Here is a 22,839-nt window from a genome sequence, read left to right on the forward strand (position 1 = left end):
ATGTACGATGCGGAATAAAATCCACTTTGTAAACATGTTCTTCATTCCATAATGGCATCCCCTTTGGTATTTACAGAAGATTTCTCCTTGTGTGTTTTACACAAGCATAAATATGACTAATGTGAATTTCCGCTCATTCGCCTTTTCTAGGTGGAATTGTGTAGCCCAGTAAACACAATAATAAAGAAGGCTTCCTAAAGACAAAGTGAGGATTTCTCAGTGTGCTTTTTATTAAAGGATGGAGAAAATCTTGCATTTGGCTACAGGCTGACATTTTCAAAAGCCTGCCCTAAGACAATGAAAAATATGTATCATACACATATTTTAAAAAATTTTTAAAAATTATAAATGTCATACATGCTACTTAAGAAAACACGGAACATTAAAAAATGAAAAATCTGATCATAGTTTCACTTTCAATTTATTGGTATATCCTTCTGCGCCAAGGTTTTTTGTTGTTGCTTAAACGTTTGCCGCCACTTATTCCCTCCCCACATTTTAAAAGGAAGATAATTTATGTAGAATTATGTAGAAAGTGAGGTATCAATTAGTAGGTTGGATTTATAAAGAACAGAAGAGGAGCCACACTGGCCTTTGGGGTAAAGCCAACCATATTAACTGTCCAGCCCTGTTGTCAGGTAGAGGAAGTATTCGTTTGAGGGAGATGTGAGCCTCCCTCATTGTGAAGATAGTTTTTGATCAATTATTCAATATATACAGGTTTGGAGTTCAGTATGTCTTCTAGAACTACTGGCGGCAGCTTCTTTCGTTGACGTGGGCTACAATGGTTGCTAAAACCTGCGTGCCAGAAGCCAGAGGTGGGGAGGCGCCATTTGCTAAACCGGAACTGGTTAAAATCTCAGGGTGGAGACCATTCCCAGTCAGCAAGGGCTTGGGAAGTGCATACAGTTCCTGCTCCTGGTGTCTACTCTGAAGAGCACAGAGTAGACGTTTGTCTGCCATTTCACCGGCAGTAAGATCAGCAGCTGCTGGTGAGCAAAGAGGTAGTAGTGGGTCACTGGACTGGTGGGCGCCGGGGCCGCGCGCTAGATGGAGAGGTCAGCGGCGAACCCAGCTCCATGGCCTAGTCTCGTCAGACCGAGCGCGGACCCTGCCGGCCTCCGTTCTCTTCCGCTTGTCTCAGGTAAAGCGCAGATCCCTCCGCCGCAGCGTGCGCTCCCGGTAGCGCTGCGATCAGCTTTTCGGCAATACCCGGATGGAAGTGTAATGGCCGCCATCAGGGACTCGCAGGCAATGGGTACTACGACAGGTATTCCCCGTCAGCGGGACTGCCCAGACCTTTTAGGATGTCAGAACTTCTAGAGGGCCACCCAGCAGGCAAACGGCGAGTTTGTGGACCGTCAGGGTCCCCCAAACAGGTCCAGGGATCCGCCTCTTGTGAGAGGAAGCGCGAGTTAAATAGTCCCGGCCATTCAGCGCTTCCGCTTAACTTGCCGCAAAGTTTTTCTGGAGAAGTCGGGGTTTTTTTGCCGAGCGCTTTTGCCGACTGCTAGAGCTTACCCTTACTTTCTTAACCTGGGGTTGTTTTACTTCCGGGCTTTTTGAACTCTACACTCTCCTACATTCTAGGAGCTGGGTGGGAGTAGGAGACGGTGTGCCTCCGCGCTCCCCGCGGGGCAGCCGAACCCCGGAGGAAGGGGCGGATCGGGCGCGGTGTTTGGGGCGAAGCTGGGCGCGCGGCGCTCGAAGCACTCACTCGGCGGGTTTCGTGGTTGGTGGAGACAGCAAGGGCGCCCCGCAGACCGCACCCCTCGAGCTATAGGTTCGCAGGCCCGACTCGACGGCGTCCCTATTGCTGGCCCAGCGTATGGTCATTGGGGGCCATTTCTTGCAGAGATGCCCTGCTCCCTGACGCGCTCGCTCTTCTCCAGAGTTGGCCAAAGGTGCTCTTCCCCGCAGACCCTAACCACACCCAGTGGCAGTTGGATTTCTTTGTAACTGGCTTTCTCACATGTAGGGTTCATTTTGACTCTATTCGTTACATGGTGTCCTCTTTGTCAAGTAGACAGTCTCTTCCTAGGTGGCTGTGGTAATTGAAAAGTACATAGAGCGAAATGTATATAAGGAAAAATGTTTTAACTCTTAAGTGGACCGATCAAACAGATGTAGCTTTAAAGTTCAGAATACAACAGTTAAGACTCAGTTTTCTTTTTAGGTTTAAATTTGAGAGCAAGTAGTGTATGTGAGCTGTTTTAGTGCAAACATTGTTGAGTATGTTGTCAAACGTCTAAAAAACCCTAGAAAAATAAAATAAGTCAATGTTCAAGGAATTCATAAGAATGTTGGAATTTGTACAGTTGTCGCAGTGATAAAACATGAAGACACCAAACTGTCAGGATAGGAATTCTATTAACTTGAAAGTGTGCATGTTAGATCTAGTTACTGGTAATTGTTGAATTGCTTTTTCTGCAGCAAGGGGTCTGATTTGAGTGTACTCTAAGGTTGATATCCTCAGGTTTAATTTAAAACATTTAAATTGATTCAGTGAAATTTCCTAACATTTTTTGAGTTTAACTGCAAATTTATAGAAATGCATTCACTATCTTTCAGCAAAATTGTCTTTTCTGAAATTTATAAAGAGACATTGCGTTCTGTTAACACTTTGAGGGTGTTGGGATTTCCTGGGGAAGGTAAGCATAGTAAACGATGTTGATTTTTGCCATAGAAACTGTAAATTAGATCATCCCTAGATACAGAAAATTGCCAACAAAAGGGGAGAATAAAATGTAGGTATGTTACACAACCAAATGTTTCCTGTTTGTTGCGTGAAAATAAGTATAATTACCAAATAAAACGTTTTATATCTGGTTTTATGGAAGGACAAAAGACAGTAACCACAATGAACACCCACTGTGTGCATTGATAATGTATGAACTTTTAAATGCTTCAATTTTTTGCCATGGTCACACTTCGGATTCTGTTCTAGTCTCTCTGGTAATAGTATGCTGTAATCCCAGAAGTTTCTATATTTTGAAATATTACAGAGGGACTATACTTTAGCCTAGATCTATAATTTGACTTCAGGATATGCTTTAAATGCCCTTTAAGTGTATTTTTGTTGTTTACTTTTCTGTTTATAGTTGTTTAGAATTGTTCTCATTGAGGCATTGTGACATTGCATACTTTAGAGCACTTAATACTACTTTTTTTTTTTTTCTTTAAATGATAGGAGACTTGAATCTTGCCCACATTCCTTCAGGTATGCTACTGAAGGTTTTGTGGCAAAGTGCTATTAGCAGAACAAAAAGGTTTTAACACCGTCTTGAAATTTTTATTTATTATCTGGTCCCAGGTGTGTAGGCTGTGAGTATTTCAGTTCTATATGGGGTATTGGCTTCTCATGGTGAGCAGTTTTCATGGCATATTAGATACCAGAAATGAGTATTAAGGGTTAGTATTGTGGTGGTAGGATAACTGAATTGGAACCGGATCCAGATATTATTTCTAGTTTTGTGACTTTGGGCAAGGCTCATTTTCTTTTTCTTGTAATAAATGAAGATACTGAGTTAGATTGATTCTAAGCTTTAGGTTGTGACTTTTGCAAATTTGTGACATGTTATCACTGGTCATCAATGATGTATGCTTAAGTGTATAGAAGTTTTTTCTTAGTTTTTTTTTTTTTTTTTTACATTTCTTTATACACCTAAGTTGAATGTGAAGTGTAATTGAACAGTTTTTGTCGTCAAAAGTTTTAAAATCTTGGTCTTCATTTCCAGATATCATCTCTTCTTTTGATCACTGTTCCTGATTGTGACATTGTGCAAGTGTTAAATTGTGTGCCTTTTGTTCCTGAAGAAAGAGGTATGGTAAAGATTGAAATACTGGAGTATATAGTCTATTAAGTAGTAAGTTGGTATGTTTTAATATTGGACTAAATAAAGTAAAATATAGGTTAAGTATCCCAAATCCAAAAATCCAGAATGCAAAATTTTTTGAGTGCTGACATGATGGTCAAAGGAAATGCTCTTTGGAACATTTTGGATTTTGAATTTTTGGATTTGAGATGCTCAACTGGTATAATGCAAATACTCTAAAATCCTAAAAAAGAAAAAGAAAAAAAGAATGAAACCCTTCTGTTCCCAAGCATTTCAAATAAGAGACACTCAACCTGTAGTTTTACATATACATGAGTTTTCATAAGTTATATAAGTTATAGTTTTATTTTATTTTTTGGCTAAAATAAAATACTTAAACATGAGTTTTCATTTTAATCTAAGCAAAAAAAGTAATTTTTGGTTTCATAGTTTATTACTTAACATTTTATTAGAAATCCAAATATAACTTTAACTATCATCCTTCTGAATAGAAAAGTGGCATTAAAGTCTTCTGGGTAATGAACAGTGGAGATAAAGGTGGTAGATAGATGTTTCAAAGCTATATGAATGGCCAGAAGATTGTGGTTTTGGTCTAGTAAGTGCAAAGCAATGTACCTAAAGAAAAATTATCTGATATGTGTTTATATTATGACTAATAGCATCTTCATTATGAATCAGGAAAGGGACTTGGGAATCACTATAGTGTTATGATTGGTTTCTTGAAGACAGTCATGTGAATGTCTGGGTGTAGACAAAAAAGGAGGAAAAATATGCCAACAAATCTATGGTATTATAAGGAAAGCTTTGGAAATGTAGTGGAAAATATTGTACCCATGTAAAAAAACATGTTTTTTCTACCCTCAAAACACAGATGTCTCCTACTCTTTGTGTTGGATAGGTCCTGGGATCTTTGAAATGCTAAGATTCTTGGATACCACAGTATCATAAAATTCCTCTAAATGCAGTAAGTATACACATAAGTATGACCGTAAATTAGGAATAAGATTATTTATGTAACTGCTGAAATAGCTGACATAGACTATACCACCTTACAGTATTGCTTTAATTATCATAATAACCGTGTTCTTCCCTGAACTTCACCAGCAAATGGATTTCTGTTCAGGGCCATTTTTTTACAAAGGCATGAATTTTTATTTTGTCAGAAAATAATGTACATTGAGTAGAGAGCAGTAGAGCTGAGTTGAGGTACCACGTTATCGTTTATGTCATTAAGTAACTTTTTCCTATATAATATTTGTTTGACTTCCTACCACGAGATTCACATGGGTACTGTGTTATTCCTGAAGAGATAAAGTAATTCTGAATGCTAAGAATTTTCCTAAAGGTTGAGCATCCCAAATCTAAAAGCCTGAAATCTAAAATACTCCAAAATCTGAAACTTTTTGAGTGCTGACATGAAGCTCAAAGGCAATCATCACTGGAACATTTTGGATTTTGGATATTCAGCCAGTAAGTAATGCAAATATTCCAAAATCCACAAAAATCTGAAATCTGAAACACTTCTGGTTCCAAGCTTTTTTGTTTTGTTTTGTTTTGTTTTTTTGAGACGGAGTCTCACTCTGCCACCCAGGCTGGAGTGCAGTGGCGCGATCTCGGCTCACTACAACCTCTGCCTCCCAGGTGCAAGCAATTCTTCTGCCTCAGCCTCCCGAGTAGCTGGGACTATAGGCGCATGCCACCATGGCTGGCTAATTTTTTTTTTATTTTTAGTGGAGACGAGGCTTCGCCATGTTGGCCAGGCTGGTCTAGAACTCCTGACCTTGAGTGATCTGTCTGCTTTGGCCTCCCAAAGTGCTGGGATTACAGGGGTGAGCCACTGCTCCCGGCCTACTTCCAAGCATTTTGGTTAAGGAATATTCAGTTTGTACTATTTGACCCAGACTACTCAGAAAAAGTAATGTAATGAAGAATGAAAGCTGTAGTTGTAGTGAAGTAAATAGGAGACTGCTGTGTGATGACTGACCAAAACGATTTGTATTAATTTATCTTGAAAACTTGTGAGCAAAGTCTGACTAAAAATTTAAAGTTGTGACTGGTATGGCTGCATGAAACAAGTGTCAGAATATTAGAATGAAGGTACATGATGTGAAGTTTCAGAAAATTAAGTGGGCTTCACATAGGTCTCATTTCATGAGGAAAGTCAGATAATTTCAAAATGTAGTAAGCTTATCGTCAATTCCTGATTAATATTGGTTTGTTGAAGGTTGTGGCTGGTAAAAGACATGTCATATATTGTTTTTGTCAACTCAGTATCTCTTCATTAGAGAACCACCCCTCCCCTATTCTGAGTGGTTGGTGGGCTGTCCGTCAGTCTTACTGTCTTATAACCTGAGCTTGGTCATCCCTATTGCAACAGTGATTGCTGTTACTCATGCAGAGCCAGTCAGAATCCTTTTTTTGAAATTTATGGTTGAATGCTAGGACAAAGATACTACCTTTTCTCTGAAATTGTTAATCTGGGAAGGTGCTGGTGGCATTCTTTACCACGTGTATGAAAAGCGCATCTGTGTAGTGGGAGAAAGTGAAGCCATAAGGAGATGGGAGATGGATGGTGGTAGTGCCAGTTTCAATCTCAGGGAACATGGTAAGTGGTACCTACTTTTCTTTTGATTTTGTGAACTATCCTGGTGTCCTTCTCAGTCCTTGTGCCAAAATTTTTTGTGTAAATTGGTTTGAATTGGATTGCAGCAGAAAGTGTTCTGATGAATATATGGCCCTTATGAATTTAAGGTCTAAAGTTTCAGATTGATCATTCACATCCTTCTGTAGTTCCCCACTTTCCTATACCTTATAAAGAGTTCCCTTTATTTATTCATCATTTGTGCATGCATTCAATCTACTTTCACTCAACCTACAAACATTTTTTTGAGTGTCCACTATGTACAAGTATGTGCAACTGCCTGGATAGGCAAGATTATATGTACTAGACTGAGTGGATGGTGGATATATAGCATATTTTTATTTATTTCTGGTGCACAGATTAATAAGCGTGTGTTGAGAATAATGACTGTGGTGCTTGGCATCTAAGTAATAATGTAAGAACAAGAAGAATTCCTTGTCTTGGAAGTGCTTCTAGTTAGGAATTCATATTAATATACAGCAAACACAACAGAAAAAACAGATAAATGAATGCACAGTTGTATTTTAAGTGAATTTTGATGGGAAGGAAGTGAGCAGGTTGGCCCATTTAGGAAGATTTCCTGAAGAATATACAACTTTAAATGTATTTCTGCTTATGAATGTGGCTTTGATAGGCACAGAGAATAACTGAAAAAAGGATGGAGTTAAAAATGATTATAGGCTGATCCAGGTTGGAGTGGAGATTGGTTTCACTGTAACAGTATGTGTTCTTTGGAAATGAGGTAGTGGAAAATAAGGTGACTGTTTTAGGTAAATCTATGTATGAGGCATTTGGAAAGCCAAGCAGAAATTTTGGCCCTTTCTACTAAGATGGAGATTTCTTTGAAAAAATGTGTATATTTCTTTTCATATAATTTCATTTTTGTATGCTAAAATGTGAATTAAATGTGATGAAATACTGTAAAATTACTCATTTTGGCAAAAACCTTTGTTTTATTCATCTGTCTTGAAGATTTTTTAAAAATAGCAATTAACTTGGAATGCCGATTTATAAATATGTATATATAACCTTTCTCAAAAAGGGAAAGGTAAGAAGAAATGTTATATATATTTATTTATTTCTTCTTACCTTTCCCTTTTTGAGAGATCTCTTAGTAATAGTCAAAGCCATACCCTATTCCTTAGTGAGAAAGCCAGTTTGAAACGAATGTAGCAATAGATGTAAAAACATTTAAAGGCGTTTTAATGTGGCTTTTTAATGAGCTGGCTTATGCCTGTAGTCCCAGCACATTGAGCAGCTGAGCTGGGAGGATCGCTTGAGCCCAGGAGTTCAAGACTAGCCAGGGCAACATAGTGAGACCCCATCTCTATTTAAAAAAAAATGTTTTTAAAGATAAGGAACAGACTTAAAGTGATGATTGATTGCTCATAGAACGTTCATTTTGGGCTCCAGAACTAGGAATGATGTAGAATTTATTGTTGTGTCATTGTCTCATTAAATGCTGTAGTTTCCTATGTCCTTGCCTACCTTCTTTCCTCAGAGCCTCGCATCTGACCCTCAGAGAGTAGCAGTTGGATTATTCCATTATACCAAGGTTGGCAAGCTTTTGCTGTAAATGGCCAGATAGTAAATATTTTAGGCTTTGTGGGCCATATGGTTTCTGGTGCAACTATTGTAACACAAAAGAAGCCATAGGCAATATGTAAATGAGTGAGTGTGGCTGTATTCCAGTGAAACTTAATTTACAAAAACAGGCAGCAGGCCAGATTTGGCCTGCAGGCCGTCATTTCATTCCACAAACTCTCTCAGTCACATCTGCGCACCTGCTAGCATCTTTATTTATCCTCCCCTCTAGTTACTATAGATGGATCATGTTTGCTCCTTTCTAAGTTCACCTCTTCAGCTCGTTCACTAGATTCCGTCCGTTCTAACCTGAAGGACTTCACTGCTGCATTTCTTTCCTATCCTTTATCATCAATTTTTTTATTTTTACTAGATCATTTTAATAAGCGTGCAGTCATACTGTAATTCCTCCCACCTTTAAAAAACAAAAAATAAATTGAAACAAAACAAAACAACTCCTTTATCTTAAAACTCCTTGAAAGAGTTGTCTGCACTGCATCACTACTTCCTCTCTTCCCATTTTGCCTTACATCCAAGCTTGTCAGCCTTTCTCCTCTAAAACTCCACTGAAACTGTTCTAATCCATGGTACCAGTGATCTTCACATTAAGTCTAGTTAGTCATCTTCTTACTTGACAGAGTTGTTCAATCCCTTATCCAGTAAACATTTTCTTCATTTTGCTTTGAGGATACCACATTCTTGATTTACCTTAACTCTTATTGGTCATTTCTTTTCTGTCTCACTTGCTGGTTCTTTTTAATCTCTTTCTGTTGGATGTGTTATAGAATCTTGAGGCTCAGGCCTTGGACTGCTCTTTTTGTTTATTCCCCCTGGTGATTTCATCCTGCTCCAAGTACTTGAAAGTACATATGTACATATACACACACCGATAACTCCCCAAATTTCATCATCCACCTAGCCCTCTGTATTCTATATCCAGCCACACAGTCCACATTTCCTCTTGGATGTCAAATAGACATCTCAGATATTACATGCCTAAAATGGAACTTTTGATAAACTTTCCTATTACTTTAACAATCTTTTATATCTCGGTGAATAGCAACTCAGTTCTTTCCAATGCTGTCAGAACTTCTAGAGTTATCCTTGACATGTCTCTTTCTTTCAGAGAAAGCATATCAGGATATCTTGTAGGTGCTAGCTTCAAAATATATTCAATCTGACCATGCCTCATTGTCTCAGCCAAACCACCATCAACTCTTACTTGGATAATTGTACTGTGTAGTCTTTGTCTTTACTCTTAATCCCTCCTGAATACTCTGTTCTTAGCATAGCAGCCCAAGTGATAGAAGTAATTCGACTCATGGTAATTCTCTGCCCACAATGCTCCAGTAGCTTCCTCTCTGATTCAGAATAAAACCAAAGCCTTTACAGTTTCTATCAGGGCCTGTTTCTGTCCCCTTGTTACTTCTCTGACCTCATCTTCTAGCTTTCCCTCTAATGCTTTCTGTTGTGGTCATACTGATTTTCTTGCTGTTCCCCAAATGTGTTAGGCACATTGCACACTCAGGGTCATGTCACTAACTTTTGTTTTCTTGGATTGTTGGCTTCCTCAGCTCTTTAAGATACTGACTCCAATAAGACCTTTTCAAGTCGAGGGCTCCCTGACTTAATATGTAAAATTACAACACTCTGATTCTGCCTTTCTGTCTTTGCTTTATTTTTCTCTGTAGCAATTGTTGCCTTTGAATATACTTTATAATTTACTTACTTTGTTTATTACCTAAATAATCAGTAAAATGTTACCTCCGTGAGGGGAGGGATTTTTGTCTGTTTGGTTTACTGCCATATTCCCAATGCTTAGAACGTAGATGTGGTGCTAGCTACAAGTCTGGCAGCATCCCACATGCTGGTGATGTAGTAAAGGACATTACAGATGTAGTTCTCACCCTTACGCAACTTATATTCCGGTGGTAGAGACAGATAGAAAATAAATGGGCAAATAAATAAAATATTGCCAGAGATATTAAGTGTTACAAAAAAAGAAATAGAAAAGGATAAAGTGGCGAATTTTTTTTTTTTTTTTTTTTTTGAGGAAGGGATGGTTTATAGGGAAGGGCCCTTCTGAGGTGGTGGCATTTGAGCTGAGACCTAAAAGATGAGAAGGATGTAGCCTTTTGAAGAATGGAAGAAAGCACATTTCAAGTAGGGAACAGCAGGTGCAAAGGCCTGAGATAGGATGGATAGGAAGAATATTTGAGGAGCTGAGAATCTGTGGCAGCTTGTTGGAGTATATGTACAATGGGGAGAGTGGTGTGAGATGAAGTTGAAGAAAAAGACCCAAGACCAGATACCGCTGTTTCTTGCAGGCCTTTGTAAAGAGATTAAATTTTATTTTAAGTGCCTTGTTGCTATAGGCTGAATGTTTATGTCCCCCTTCCCCATACTCAAATTGATACATTGAAACCTATTCTCCAGTGTGATGGCATTTGGAAGTGGGGCCTTTTTAAGAGGTGATTAGGTCATAAGGGCAGAGTCCTTATGAATGGAATTAGTACCCTTATAAAAGAGACCCCAGAGGGCTCTATTTTGTCATGTGAGGACACAGTGAGAAGATGGCCACCTGTGAACCAGGAAGTAGGCCCTCCCCAGACACCAAATCGCCAGTGCCTTGATCTTAGACTTCCTAGGCTTCAGAATTGTGAGAAATAAGTCTATGGTACTCTGTTACAGCAGCCAGAACAGAGTAGGACACTTGGGAAACCACCAAGGAGCTTTAAGCAGGGGAGCTTTGTGATATGTTTTATTTTAAGAAGAACATTTGCTCCTGTGTGGAGGATGGACTCAGAGGAGGGTGGTGGACAAGGTGGAAGCATGGATGCCAGTTAGGAGGATGTTTTCATTCATGTTAGAAATGATGGTGGCCTGGACTAAGATGATGACAGTGGATAGGAAGAGAGGAAGGGAAATACAAGATCTGTTGGTTTTGTTTTTGTTTTTATTTTTTCGAGACGGAGTTTTGCTTTTGTTGCCCAGGCTGGAGTGCAATGGTGTGATCTCGGCTGACTGCAACCTCCACCTCCCGGGTTCAAGTGATTCTCCTGCCTCAGCCTCCTGAGTAGCCGGGATTACAGGCATGCACCACCATATCTGGCTAATTTTGTGTTTTTAGTAGTGGCGGGGTTTCTCTATGTTGGTCAGGCTGGTCTCAAACTCCCGACCTCAGGTGATCCACCTGCCTCAGCCTCGCAGAGTGCTAGGATTACAGGTGTGAGCCACCTCGCCCGGCCCAAGATCTGGTTTTGAGATGGAATTGACCAGGCTTGCTTATGGATTAATGTGGGGAGTAAGGGATGGAGGAATCAAGGATGAGTCTTGATTTCTGGGTTGTGGAACTGTATGAATTTTAGTGCCATATAGTAAGATGGGGACATCCAGGGAGTGTAACTTCTAATCATGGAGGCAGGTGCTGTGTAGACCTAGAGAAAAATTAAACCATTTATATTATTTTCTGAAGCTGAGTAAGAATGGATCACATGATAACATGTTCTCCCAGCAAATAGCAGTACATCTTTTGATTTTCTTCCCTCCCCTCATGTATTCCAAATCAAAATCTGCCTATTCTAAATCACTGTCGCAGCAAAATGACAAACAGAAAAAGAAAAGAGCAAAAGATGAAAATAATTCCTTTTCTATACTGAATTCAATGGCTCTTATGTCACTTTGGACAAATTAGTTCAGATTTTTCTCCCAATTCCTACCTATTAAAAAGGTGATTTCTGCCAGGGTGTGGTGGCTTATGTCTGTAGTCTCAGCACTTTGGGAGGCTGAGGTAGGCAAATTGCTTGAGACCAGGAGGTCAAGACCAACCTGGGCAACATGGTGAAACCCCATCTCTTAAAAAAAAAAAAAGAATTGGAAAAATTAGCTGGGCATGGTGGTGCATACCTATAGTCCCAGCTACTTGGGAAATTGAGGTGGGAGAATCAATTGAGCCCAGAAGGGCGAGGCTGTAATGAGCCGTAATTGTGCCATTGCAGCACTTCAGCCTGGGAGACAGAGTAAGACCCTGTCTCAAAAAAAAAGATGGGGGGTTGTGGGAGTGATTTCTGACTCTGTGTTTTAAACCAAGTTCCAAATTATTGCAGCAAAAAAGTTTACATGCTCTTTGAAGTTTGCTAGAAAGTGATTTAATCTAAAATCATAGTCATATATTTGATTTGAAAATGAGAGAATGAATAGCTTAAAAATATATGGGTTAGGCACTTGTGTACCCAGCCTTCTGGTTTTTGTGAGGGAAAAATGAGAAATAGTAAGTAAAACTTGCATTTAGGAAGCTTATAAATTATCTGGGGAGGTAAAAAATAATGAAATTATGTAATAGTATAAAGCAATTTGTAATAAATGGTGAGCACTGGCTATTCTTTAAGTGGATACTCAGAGAAAGGAGAGATTTAGTGTGTATTGTAAAAGGTTACATGTCCCTATAAGAAGCAGAATTTGAAAGGAAGTTTGAATAGTGTTGAATTTAGATAGAAGGAAGGAGATGCCATGCCTGGTGACCGAAAACTATATGAACAGAACAAAGGTAAATAAAGGTGTATGTGTGGGTAAGCATCTTTTATATTGGGCACAGTGAGAAGTCATAGTTTCAGGGAGTAATAAAGAATAAGGTTTACCTGAACCAAGAACTGCTTCTGTATTTTAATTTTTAATTTTAAACTCCTTTATAATTGTATACCAATATCAATTGCATACCAGAATGGTATGTGACTCACAGATACACTAGAATTTTGAACATTTCTAGATCTGTATTTAATTACTTTTGCATATTTAATTACTTTTGCATATTTAACCCTACATTTCTTTTTTTCTTCTTCATTTTTTTTTTTTTTTTTGAGACAGGGTCTAGCTCTGTTGGTCTGGAGTGCAGTGGTGCTTGGCTTGCTGCAACCTCTGCCACCCAGGTTTAAGGGATCCTCCCACCTCAGCCTCCTGAGTGCCTGAGAATACAGGCACATGCCACCACACTTGCCTAATTTTTAAAATACTTTTGTAGAGATGAGGTCTCACTATATTACTCAGGCTGGTCTTGAACTCCTGGACTCAAGCAGTTCTCCTGCCTCTGCCTCCCAAAGTGCTGGGATTATAGGCCTGAGCCACCATGCCCAGCCTACATTTCTTTTTCTATGCTTAAGTTGTTCATTAGACCACAGTGATTTGGAAGGAGCTGGCTTTGGTTACATATGTAAACTGTATACAACCATTTCTTGCACTCTTAAAATGTGATAGGCTTTAGTCTCTCAGGTAAACTTTTTGAAAACTTAAAACAGCTGCAAAAAAAAGTAAGCCCAAAATGTTTGTTTCAAGTCATGAATAGATAATAGTTATTTTGAGGGCACTAAAATAGATTCTGCTTTGAAAGTAATATTCTTAGGGTGTGTGTGTGTGTGTGTGTGTGTGTGTGTGTGTGTGTGTGTGTGTGTGTTTCTAGATTCCTTTTAGCAGAACCTTATATTTTTCAGTAAGCTTTTACTGTTACATGCTGCTTTGGTTTGATCACCACTCATATATTCATTCATATGACTGTTTTGCCTGTATCTGCAGAAGAAGGATTGAATGACTTAAGGAATGCAGTAGTTTTTTATGTGATGAGACAACTTAGAGAGCTACATGCTGAGTCATGAATATAGCTAAGCTAAAACTAGAGTTTTTAGTTTTTTTTTGGTGTTTAAGCAACTTGAATATAGTTAAGTAGCAGATAGATTCTTCCTTTTTAGACTCTGTAGAATGCCTTTGACTTTTAATTATTTTAGAAAGCAAATATAACTGTCTAGGAATGTTGCCTTTTGATGAACTCTTCAAATCTTCCTTATCTTTGGCATTTTACTTTGGGAATTATCTTTTAAAAATCTTTCCGGACCCAATGTGTGATTTCTTTTTTTTTTTTTTTATTGCGACAGAGTCTCGCTGTGTCGCCCAAGCTGAAGTACAGTGGCGTGATCCCGGCTCACTGCCAACCTCTGCCACCCGGGTTCAAGTGATTCTCATGTCTCAGCCTCCTGAGTAGCTGGGATTACAGGCACCCGCAACCATGCCCGGCTAACTTTTTGTATTTTTAGTACAGATGGGGTTTCGCCATGTTGGCCAGGCTGTTCTTGAACTCCTAACCTCAGGTGATCCGCCCGCTTTGGCCTCGCAAAGTGTTGGGATTACAAGCATGAGCCACCGCTCCCAGCCGTGATTTCTGACCTATGTATGTTAACATTACCAGTTCCTTGGCTCCTCACTTTTTATTTGGATTGTCACTCTAGTTGCTTAATTTCCTCATTTCTATTTTTACTCTTTCTCCAGTTTATCTTGCTGTCTAGTACCCTTCTAATATTTCTAATGTACTGCTTTTATAACTTTTTTCTGTTCTTAAATTAACAATTGCTTCTGTTTACCTTTCATTTCCAGTTCAGATCTGTCCTCTATAGTCTGTTCTCACTTAACCTCCCCATCATGCATTCTCTTTTTCATCTAGACCCTGTGGTACCTTAGGAGAAAAATACTTTTCTTCCATTGTTTCTTTATTCTGTTCTTGTGGTTTAGATTGCCTTTGCTTCTTTCTTACATGTTTTAAGTCCTGCTACTCTTTAAAGGGTCCTCACAAAACCTACCTTTCTGTGAAGTAAACACAGTCATCGTTGATTTGTCAACTTTCTGTAGTATGTAAGAAGCCTTTGATTACAAGCAGTAGAAACCAATGTGAGCTAGCTTATGTTGAAAGGGGGGATTATTTTAAGGATACAGGATTTCCTGGAATTCAAGAGTAGGAATATATAGGCAGACCTCATAAAGGCTTGTGGTGGTGACATTGCCCTCTTGGTTTCAGTCAGGGTTCTTAGGAGAGCTGATGATTTTTCTCCTATTGATTTGGTTTTCTGGTTTGTTTTTTGCTATACCATGCTGTCATTTCTTTTAAAAAAATTAAACTATTGTCAGTAGTTTGGAGGATATCCTTCTGCAGATCTGTGCTTATACGCACATATGCTTATAAGATCTTTCCTCTTAGCATGAAAACAAGGATCATTTCTCCTAATTTAAAAATGTATTCTGTGCCTCAGTCTGCAGCTTCCTTTGTTGTTGTTTTTTTAGACAGGTCTCGCTGTGTCACCTAGGCTGGAGTGCAGTAGCATGATCACGGCTCACTGCAGCCTTGACCTCCCAAGCTCAAGCAATGCTTCCATCTCAGCCTCCCGAGTAGCTGGGACTACAGGTGCATGCCACCATGCTCAGCTAATTTTTGTATTTTTTGTAGAAATGGGGTTTCGCCATGTTTTCTAGGCTGGTCTTGAACTCCTCAGCTCAAGCCATCCACCCACCTTGGCTTCCCAAAGTGCTAGGATTATAGGCATGAGTCACCATGCCCAGCCTACAACTTCCTTTTTAAAAATTAAAAAAAAAATTGCTTGGAATAAATACTGTTCCAAGTCAATTCAGTACACATACTTCTTTCTGTATAATTTCATGTGGATGTTCCGTAATTTTATAATTTTCCTATTCTGGGCATTTAAGTGATACTGATATATCCATATTTATATGTTATGCTTTTTTGGTTGAGGGGGAGGATATTCTTAAAAGTGAGGTTTTTGTGAGTAAACAAAATTGAGTATTTTCAAGGAAAATATAAATTACCAAAGTGACTCAAGCAGTAGAAAATCTAAAGAGCCCAGAAATCATAGAAGAACTTGCAAAGGTTGTAAGGTCTAAAAATCTGAAGTGTTACTAGGTCCATATGGTGTTCTTGGTGCAGTCTGTATAATTTTAAGGAAAGAACAAAAATTAAACTGTTGTCAGTAGTTTGGTTAGTGAACTATTTCAGAGCAGATGAAATAGTGGTAAGTACTCCAATCCATTTTACAAATCCTCTGTAATACCACTACCAAAACTGTTACAGATAGCAAAAAAAAAAAATTCTAAATAACACTTTGTCAGATGAAATTCAGCACTTTATTAAAGAATAATATGCTGCATATTGCAAAAATTGTTCAACATTATAGTTGCTATTCATTTCTTTGTATAGCATATAGAAATAAATATATAGGCAAAATTAGGTTGGTGTTACAATTTTTAGTATTTCTTTTAACAGTATCAAGATCAGGAAACATATTAGTTGAATACCATTTGTTTTCGTATAAAATACATGTATGTTTTGTTGTTGTTGTTGTTGTTGTTAAGATGGAGTCTCGCTCTGTCGCCCAGGCTGGAGTGCAGTGGCGTAATCTCAGCTTACTGCAACCTCCACCTCCTGGGTTCAAGCGATTTTCCTGCCTCAGCCTCCCGAGTAGCTGGGATTACAGACATGCGCTACCACACCCGGCTGATTTTTGTATTTTTAGTAGAGATGGGGTTTCACCATGTTGGTCAGGCTGGTCTTGAACTCCTGACCTCAGGTGATCCTCCCACCTTGGCCTCCCAAAGTGTTGGGATTAAAGGCGTGAGCCACCGCTCCTGGTCGCATCTTTTTATTTATGTAACAACACTGCATACATAACTGCTATTCTGGTTGTATTAATTCCCATTACTTTTTAGGTAGCCTCATTCCTCACAAATTAATTGTTAAATAAACCGACTAAAAACACTTCTCTTATAGCATGAATTTATATAGCATGAATGAAATTCAGTAACATAATTCATCATTCTCTTGAGTGTTTACCATTAACTTTGACGCTTGTGTTAAAGTGTTCTCTGCAGTGGTATGACTGGGTACGTGTGTGTTGATATGGAGAACACAGAATTGAATGATACCTGTATTGTTTTGATCTCTTCTTCACCTTTAGTGTCAACATTGATCTGTTTTATACTGGCAGCAAGTATATTATTTTGAGTTTAAGAAAAACTCAGTTGGTTTACCACAGAAATCACTTGCTTTGTTTGAGAATTTGCATCATGCCACTTTTTCATAAAGTTTCATAAAATTGCAGTCTAGAGACAAAAAGATTGCTGTTCTCACAAAGTCCAAATGTAAGGTGTTTGCTTGTGCTATCATAAGGTAGTATGCCAGTGTGGAGGCCATGGTGATCTAAGACAGCATTTTATGAAACACTGACCTAAGAGTAACCAGTGATCACTAGGAACATTTTTGTATGTGTATTCTTCTTGACTTTTAACTTTTGACGCATTTGTTTATCCATTTTCTATCCATCTATCAGTATTTGAACAAATTAAACTCTATATGTCTACTGTTTATTTTTTTTTCACTTAAGGTATGTTAGATATCATTGTGTTAATAAATGTGAGTTTACAGTATTGGTTTTTAAATTGCATAATATTCCCTTACAATACTGTAATTGATTTAATCATCATTTATTGGTGGACACTTATTTTTAATTTTGTGATTTTATAAACGATGGCACAAATAATATTTCTGATTATTAGCTTTAGGATGCATTTCTAGAAGTGAATCAGAAGTTGTATGCCTTTTCTCCAGACTCTTTATGTATGTATTGCAAACTGTTCTTTATAAAGGTCATGCCAGCTTTTATCTCCATCATTAGTATATTACTGTGCCTTTTTTTCCTCACTGACCAACACTAGGTATTAGAAATATGTAACATCTTTTGCAATCTGATTAGCAGAAGTTTTCTTGTTTTTATTTGTTTTGAATTCTAGTGAAGTTGGGCATGTTTTCACTTATATTCCTCTGTGACTTTCTTCTTTGGGTCTTTTGCCTAGTTTGTAACTTGTTTTTATTTTTATTATGAAATGTGTTTATGGACAAAATGCACACTATGTATGTGGTTTAAAGATAAAACAAATATCTGCATACCAACTATTTAAGAAACAGAAGCTCCTTTCCTCTACCCTCATTGTGTTCTCTCTGGTCATATCCTCCTCTCTGCTCCTAACAAATATGAAACTACCATTCTGACTTTTGGTATTTTGGTGACTATAAACACCAAATTGTTTAGTTTTGAAAATTTGGTAGCAAGCCTAAATCTGGCTATACAGTGAAAAGGTAACAGTGCCACTAGTAGATGAAGGCTCCCAGGAGAAGTTAAGGTAACAGCATACCTGGATCATAGTCTGGTTTTAGCTTCTCTGGAGTTTATCAGAGCCACTTTTGGGGAAGTCTAGGTAAATCATGAGTGAATCCTAGCAACCTTAGGGCCCACTGTAAGCAGAGAATCTGGCAGGCTCAGAGTATAGACCAGATAGTGGATGTCTGAGAGAGGCTACTCTGTAATTTTGGTTTCTAAGCTCACCATGCAGTTGATCTGGATATAAAGGTATGGAGGGAAAAGCAGGAACATCATGAGTTTATGTCAATACAAGCCAAATACAGATGAGAATCTGGGCCAGGCTTACCTGGGGATTCTGTCCAATGGTTGAAAAGACGGTACAGTGTCAGTGACGTTTTTGGTGATGGAAGTCCTCAGTGTGTCTTTTGATGTCAAAGATGTCTTGTCTTTGGACTGACAGGAGCATGTGATCTGTGGTCCAACTGTTTGTTATCCTGGTATTTCCCTTTACTGTCATCTTGGGGATATTATTTACTTCTCTCTCCTCCATTTGATCTCCCAATGCATATTATGTCATGTCTTTCTCTCTCTCTGTTTATTCTTTCATTTTGCTGGAGTATATCTTATAGTAACAACTTGGGGAAGGATGTCTGGCAGGTAAATTTTGAGATTTTGCATGTCTTCATTTTACCCTTATACCTAGACCCTTGGCAAAATGTAGAATTCTCGGTTGAAAGCTTTATGCCAGAATTCGAAGGTATTGCCCCTTTGTCTTTGTCCATCTGTTACTGTTGCTGAGAAATCTAAAGTCATTTGATTTCTAATCCTTTGTTTTCTGACCTTTTTTGTTTCTATTTAGAAACTGGATTTTGTCTCTACTGTTAGGAATCTTTGCAATGATATGCCTGCGTACCTTACACTGAGCACTTGGTGGACATTATCATCCTGGAAACTGATTTCCTACAGCTCAGTACTTTAAAAAGTTATTTTATTGATGATTTCCTTCCCCTTTGTACTCTCTTCCTGCCCTCCTGTTAGTCAAATGTTAGACCTCCTAGATTGCTCTTCTTTCTTACCTTGTTTCTCCTATTTTTCATCTCTGTGTTTTGTTTTTTTCTGAGAGGTTATTTCACCTTTACCTTATAGCCCTTCTGTTGCCCCTTTTTGGTTATGTTTTCTTATTTCTTAGAGTTCTTTTTGTTCTTTTGATGTTCCCTTTTTGTGGCATCCTGTTCTTATTTCTTATATCCCTAGAAATCAATGAGTTTTAAATGTTTTGTCTTGGCCGGGCGCGGTGGCTCACGCCTGTAATCCCAGCACTTTGGGAGGCCGAGGTGGGTGGATCACCTGAGGTTGGGAGTTCGATAACCAGCCTGACCAACACGGAGAAACCATGTCTCTACTAAAAATACAAAATTAGCCTGGTGTGGTGGCACATGCCTATAATCCCAGCTACTAGGGAGGCTGAGGCAGGAGAATCGCTTGAACCTGGGAGGTGGAGGTTGTGGTGAGCTGAGATCGTGCCATTGCACTCCAGCCTGGGCAACAAGAGTGGAACTCTGTCTCAAAAAAAAAAATGTTTTGTCTTAGTACATAGTCTCAGTTTCTAACAAATTACTTTTTTTGATTTAATTGGTCTGGATCTTGAACTAATATTAGAGGGTTTTCTCAGACTGTCCAGTAATCCTCTGGCCTGTCTGCTTGTGTCTCAGAAGCTCATGGAAAGCCCCTGTCTGAACCCACAGAAGGGCTTGTAACACAAGGTTTTGACTCCCACTGTGGGGAGCTCTTTGGGCTGGGCCAGGCACCAGAATCTGGCCCAGTGCTTCTCCAACTAGTGAAGCTCCAGAATTTTTTTTGAGACGGAGTCTCGCCCTGTCGCCCAGGCTGGAGTGCAGTGGCATGGTCTCGGCTCACTGCAAGCTCTGCCTCCCAGGTTCACACCATTCTCCTGCCTCAGCCTCCCGAGTAGCTGGGACTACAGGCGCCCACCACCACACCCGGCTAATTTTTTGTATTTTTAGTAAAGACGGGGTTTCACCATGTTAGCCAGGATGGTCTTGATCTCCTGACCTGGTGATCTGCCCGCCTCGGCCTCCCAGAGTGCTGGGATTACAGGCGTGAGCCACCGTGCCTGGCCTGATTTTTTTTTTCTTTTACCTCAATCTGTTACAGCTGATAATTTTAAAGCATAATAAAAATAAATTGCCAGAATAATGAAATTTTAAAAATGAAGACATACAAAACATAAGTACATGTTTTTATTATTAGATTCAACAGATAAGTCTAACTCTGAAAAGTTTATAAATGTTTATTTTCGGTTTTGGTACTTACCTTGTCATGGACTGGTGATAGATGGCTTATGGGCCATCAGCAGACCATAGTTTAAGGAGCATTGCTGTCGCCTAGGAGCCAACTTAGAAGCAGAAAAAAAGGGGATATGAGGTGAGGGTTTGTGTCTCATGTATATGGTCGTTTAATCCTCTTGGTTTTGGCATAGTGCCTACTCTCTCCCCTGTGCCTGGTCTCCCCTAAAACAAAGATTCGTTTTACCCACTGTAGAGAGTAAGCCTCTAGACTTCTGTAGTGGGGAAACAACAGTAACCAATAGCATGATAGAGTGGGGAAGAGAATCTTAGCATCCAACTATAAGTCAACCAACTTTCTCCAAATTTCTTTCTGTTTTAGCTTCCCCCTTCCTCCTTCCTCCCACAAGCTGGCAGTTCTTAGGCCTCGTAAAGATTCAGAATGTAAAATGTGTTAGTTCCTAGCTTTCCCAGCTGTCTGCAAGGTCATTTATCTGTTTTTCAGTATCCAAAATTTTGTTGCTATTGCTCCCTCTTCTGTTTTCCATTGTGAATTCTGCTGTAAGGGATTCTAAATATTTGATGTCACAGGTGTTCTTTTTCTCCATCCAGTCTTTTCTGCTTTTTTAACTATATTAATAACAATGTTTATATTCAATGTATATATTTTCCTCAAAGAGTACATATGTAGTATATTTTCTGAATCTTTGCATATCTAAAATTGTGCTTTTCCCTCACATATGGGAGCTTTTCTGGATGTGAAATTAATCTTGGGTTACCTCAGAACTCTATATAAATGTTACTCCATTGTCTTCTCGTGTTTAGAGTTGTGAATAAAATGTCTGATTAATATTGGTGTCTGGGCCGGGCGTGGTGGCTCACGGCTGTAATCTGAGCACTTTGGGAGGCTGAGACGGGCAGATCACGAGGTCAGGAGATCGAGACCATCCTGGCTAACACAGTGAAACCCCGTCTCTACTAAAAATACAAAAAAAAAAAAAAAATTAACCAGGCGTGGTGGTGGGCTCCTGTAGTCCCAGCTATTCGGGAGGCTGAGGCAGGAGAATGGTGTGAACCTGGGAGGCGGAGCTTGCAGTGAGCTGAGATTGCACCACTGCACTCCAGCCTGGGTGACAGAGTGAGACTCCATTTCGGAAAAAAAAAAAAAAAAATTGATGTCTGATTAAAGGTGGTGTTCTGATGAAAAATCCCTTTTTTTAGGTAACTATTACCCACCTTTTTGGATAGCATTTCATTTTTATCTTTTAAGCTAGAAATTTTTACAAGAATAAGTTGTAGATACTGAGCTTCTAATCTTGCCTGGTATTTGGAGAGCGTTTGATTTTAAAAATTCAGATCTTTTTGGAAAAAAAAAAAACTTAGGTACAATTTTTTCTCATTTTCAAAATCATTATTCCTCCCGCATCTACTTTGTTCTCTCTTTTATGACAGTCAGTATGCTCTTTTTTTCAATATGCTAGATCTTACTGAGGTTGCTAGTTATTACTTGATTTTTTTTTAAGTTTTCTTTTTTTTTTTATTGCAGCAACTTTCTTTCTTTCCTTTTTTTTTTTTTTTTTTTTGGAGACAGAGTCTCACTCTGTCACTCAGCCTGGAGTGCAGTGGCGTGATCTCGGCTCACTGCAGTCTCCACCTCCACATCCCAGGTTCAAACAATTCTTGAGCCTCAGCCTCCTGAAGAGCTGGGATTGCAGGCACCCACCACCATGCCTGACTAATTTTTGTATTTTTAGTAGAGACGGGGTTTCACCATGTTGGTCAGGCTGGTCTCAAACTCCTGACCTCAGGTGATCCGCCCCCCTCGGCCTCCCAAAGTGCTGGGATTACAGGTGTGAGCCAGCACTCCCAGCCTTACTGCAGTAACTTTCATTATGGTCACTGCTGGATGGGAGAACAGGGGAGAGGTTTCTCTGAGGGTTCAGATTATTTTCTCTTTTTAGAGCTGCTGCATCCAGTGATGTTTCTGCCTACTTATCTTTTTTGTTGGCATTGTTGGGTGGGATGAATTCCTAAAGAATACACCAAGATTTTCTCAGTGTTTTTGTTAGGAGAAGGGGAAGTTGAGAGTTAACCTCATTTATTTTTCTTACAGTGTAGAGATAATTCAGTTATGTAGCGAAAGGACAGGGCTCTTAAACAGAGGAAGATAGCCATGGGTGTAGGAAGATTCGTCTTTGTTCAGAAATAATGTCCTCTTTGCATCTCTCCTAACAGTTGGTGCTAGCAATCCCCTACTCTGTCTGGCCTCTGGATCTAGCTTGAAGTTCTGGATTCATTTCCTTCTTCCTTGTACCTCAGCCTGAGCCTTCTGTCACCCAAAGGGCTCCAGCTGGTTTTTCACTCAGGCCTCACTTTATCTTCCAAGGTATGTTTAGGGGAAGTTGTAGGCAGAATTATGTCTCTCACTTCCTTACTTGGGCATAATGGGCAGATCCTCATTAAATATTGATTGGATGAATGTTCCTAGTGAACTCCCTTTTTAAAAA

General features: G+C 39.1%; 1 protein-coding gene and 1 long non-coding RNA gene across 54 annotated transcripts in view, besides 4 other annotated features; one reads left to right on the forward strand and one right to left on the reverse strand.

Moving 5' to 3' along the window:
- LOC124902486 (uncharacterized) lies at positions 207 to 19,941 on the reverse strand. Its single transcript, XR_007062254.1, has 2 exons — positions 7,567 to 19,941; positions 207 to 7,506 (listed from the first exon to the last, which is right to left on the reverse strand). It is a non-coding gene; the product is annotated as an uncharacterized LOC124902486 (long non-coding RNA).
- Positions 405 to 1,309: an enhancer, noted in NCBI's record as "NANOG-H3K27ac-H3K4me1 hESC enhancer chr10:97889010-97889914 (GRCh37/hg19 assembly coordinates)". NCBI's record gives its function as "activates a minimal SCP1, AML or CMV promoter by ChIP-STARR-seq in naive H9 embryonic stem cells {active_cell/tissue: H9 hESC(naive)}" and the evidence as "EXISTENCE:reporter gene assay evidence [ECO:0000049][PMID:30033119]".
- Positions 405 to 2,213: a biological region, named in NCBI's record as "NANOG-H3K27ac-H3K4me1 hESC enhancers GRCh37_chr10:97889010-97889914 and GRCh37_chr10:97889915-97890818".
- Positions 862 to 1,501: an enhancer, noted in NCBI's record as "active region_3817". NCBI's record gives its function as "activates an Ori minimal core promoter by ATAC-STARR-seq in GM12878 lymphoblastoid cells {active_cell/tissue: GM12878}" and the evidence as "EXISTENCE:reporter gene assay evidence [ECO:0000049][PMID:35858748]".
- The window catches only part of ZNF518A (zinc finger protein 518A), a 75,577-nt gene continuing 53,604 nt past the window's right edge, over positions 867 to 22,839 (forward strand). For 4 of the 53 annotated variants that reach the window (NR_138482.1, XM_047426063.1, XM_017016994.3 and 1 more), the window contains exons 1-3: positions 867 to 1,144; positions 3,738 to 3,822; positions 4,735 to 4,800. The gene's annotated coding sequence lies outside the window, so the exon portion shown is untranslated. Of the gene's footprint in view, positions 1,145 to 1,207; positions 1,271 to 1,431; positions 1,975 to 3,737; positions 3,823 to 4,707; positions 4,801 to 6,321; positions 6,442 to 7,978; positions 8,033 to 21,895; positions 22,719 to 22,839 lie in introns of those variants that run through there. The other 49 variants (XM_011540413.4, NM_001278524.2, NM_001278526.2 and 46 more) reach the window with 25 other exon arrangements.
- Positions 1,310 to 2,213: an enhancer, noted in NCBI's record as "NANOG-H3K27ac-H3K4me1 hESC enhancer chr10:97889915-97890818 (GRCh37/hg19 assembly coordinates)". NCBI's record gives its function as "activates a minimal SCP1, AML or CMV promoter by ChIP-STARR-seq in primed H9 embryonic stem cells {active_cell/tissue: H9 hESC(primed)}" and the evidence as "EXISTENCE:reporter gene assay evidence [ECO:0000049][PMID:30033119]".

This window comes from Homo sapiens, chromosome 10 (assembly GCF_000001405.40).
Source record: "Homo sapiens chromosome 10, GRCh38.p14 Primary Assembly".
NCBI lineage: Eukaryota > Metazoa > Chordata > Mammalia > Primates > Hominidae > Homo > Homo sapiens.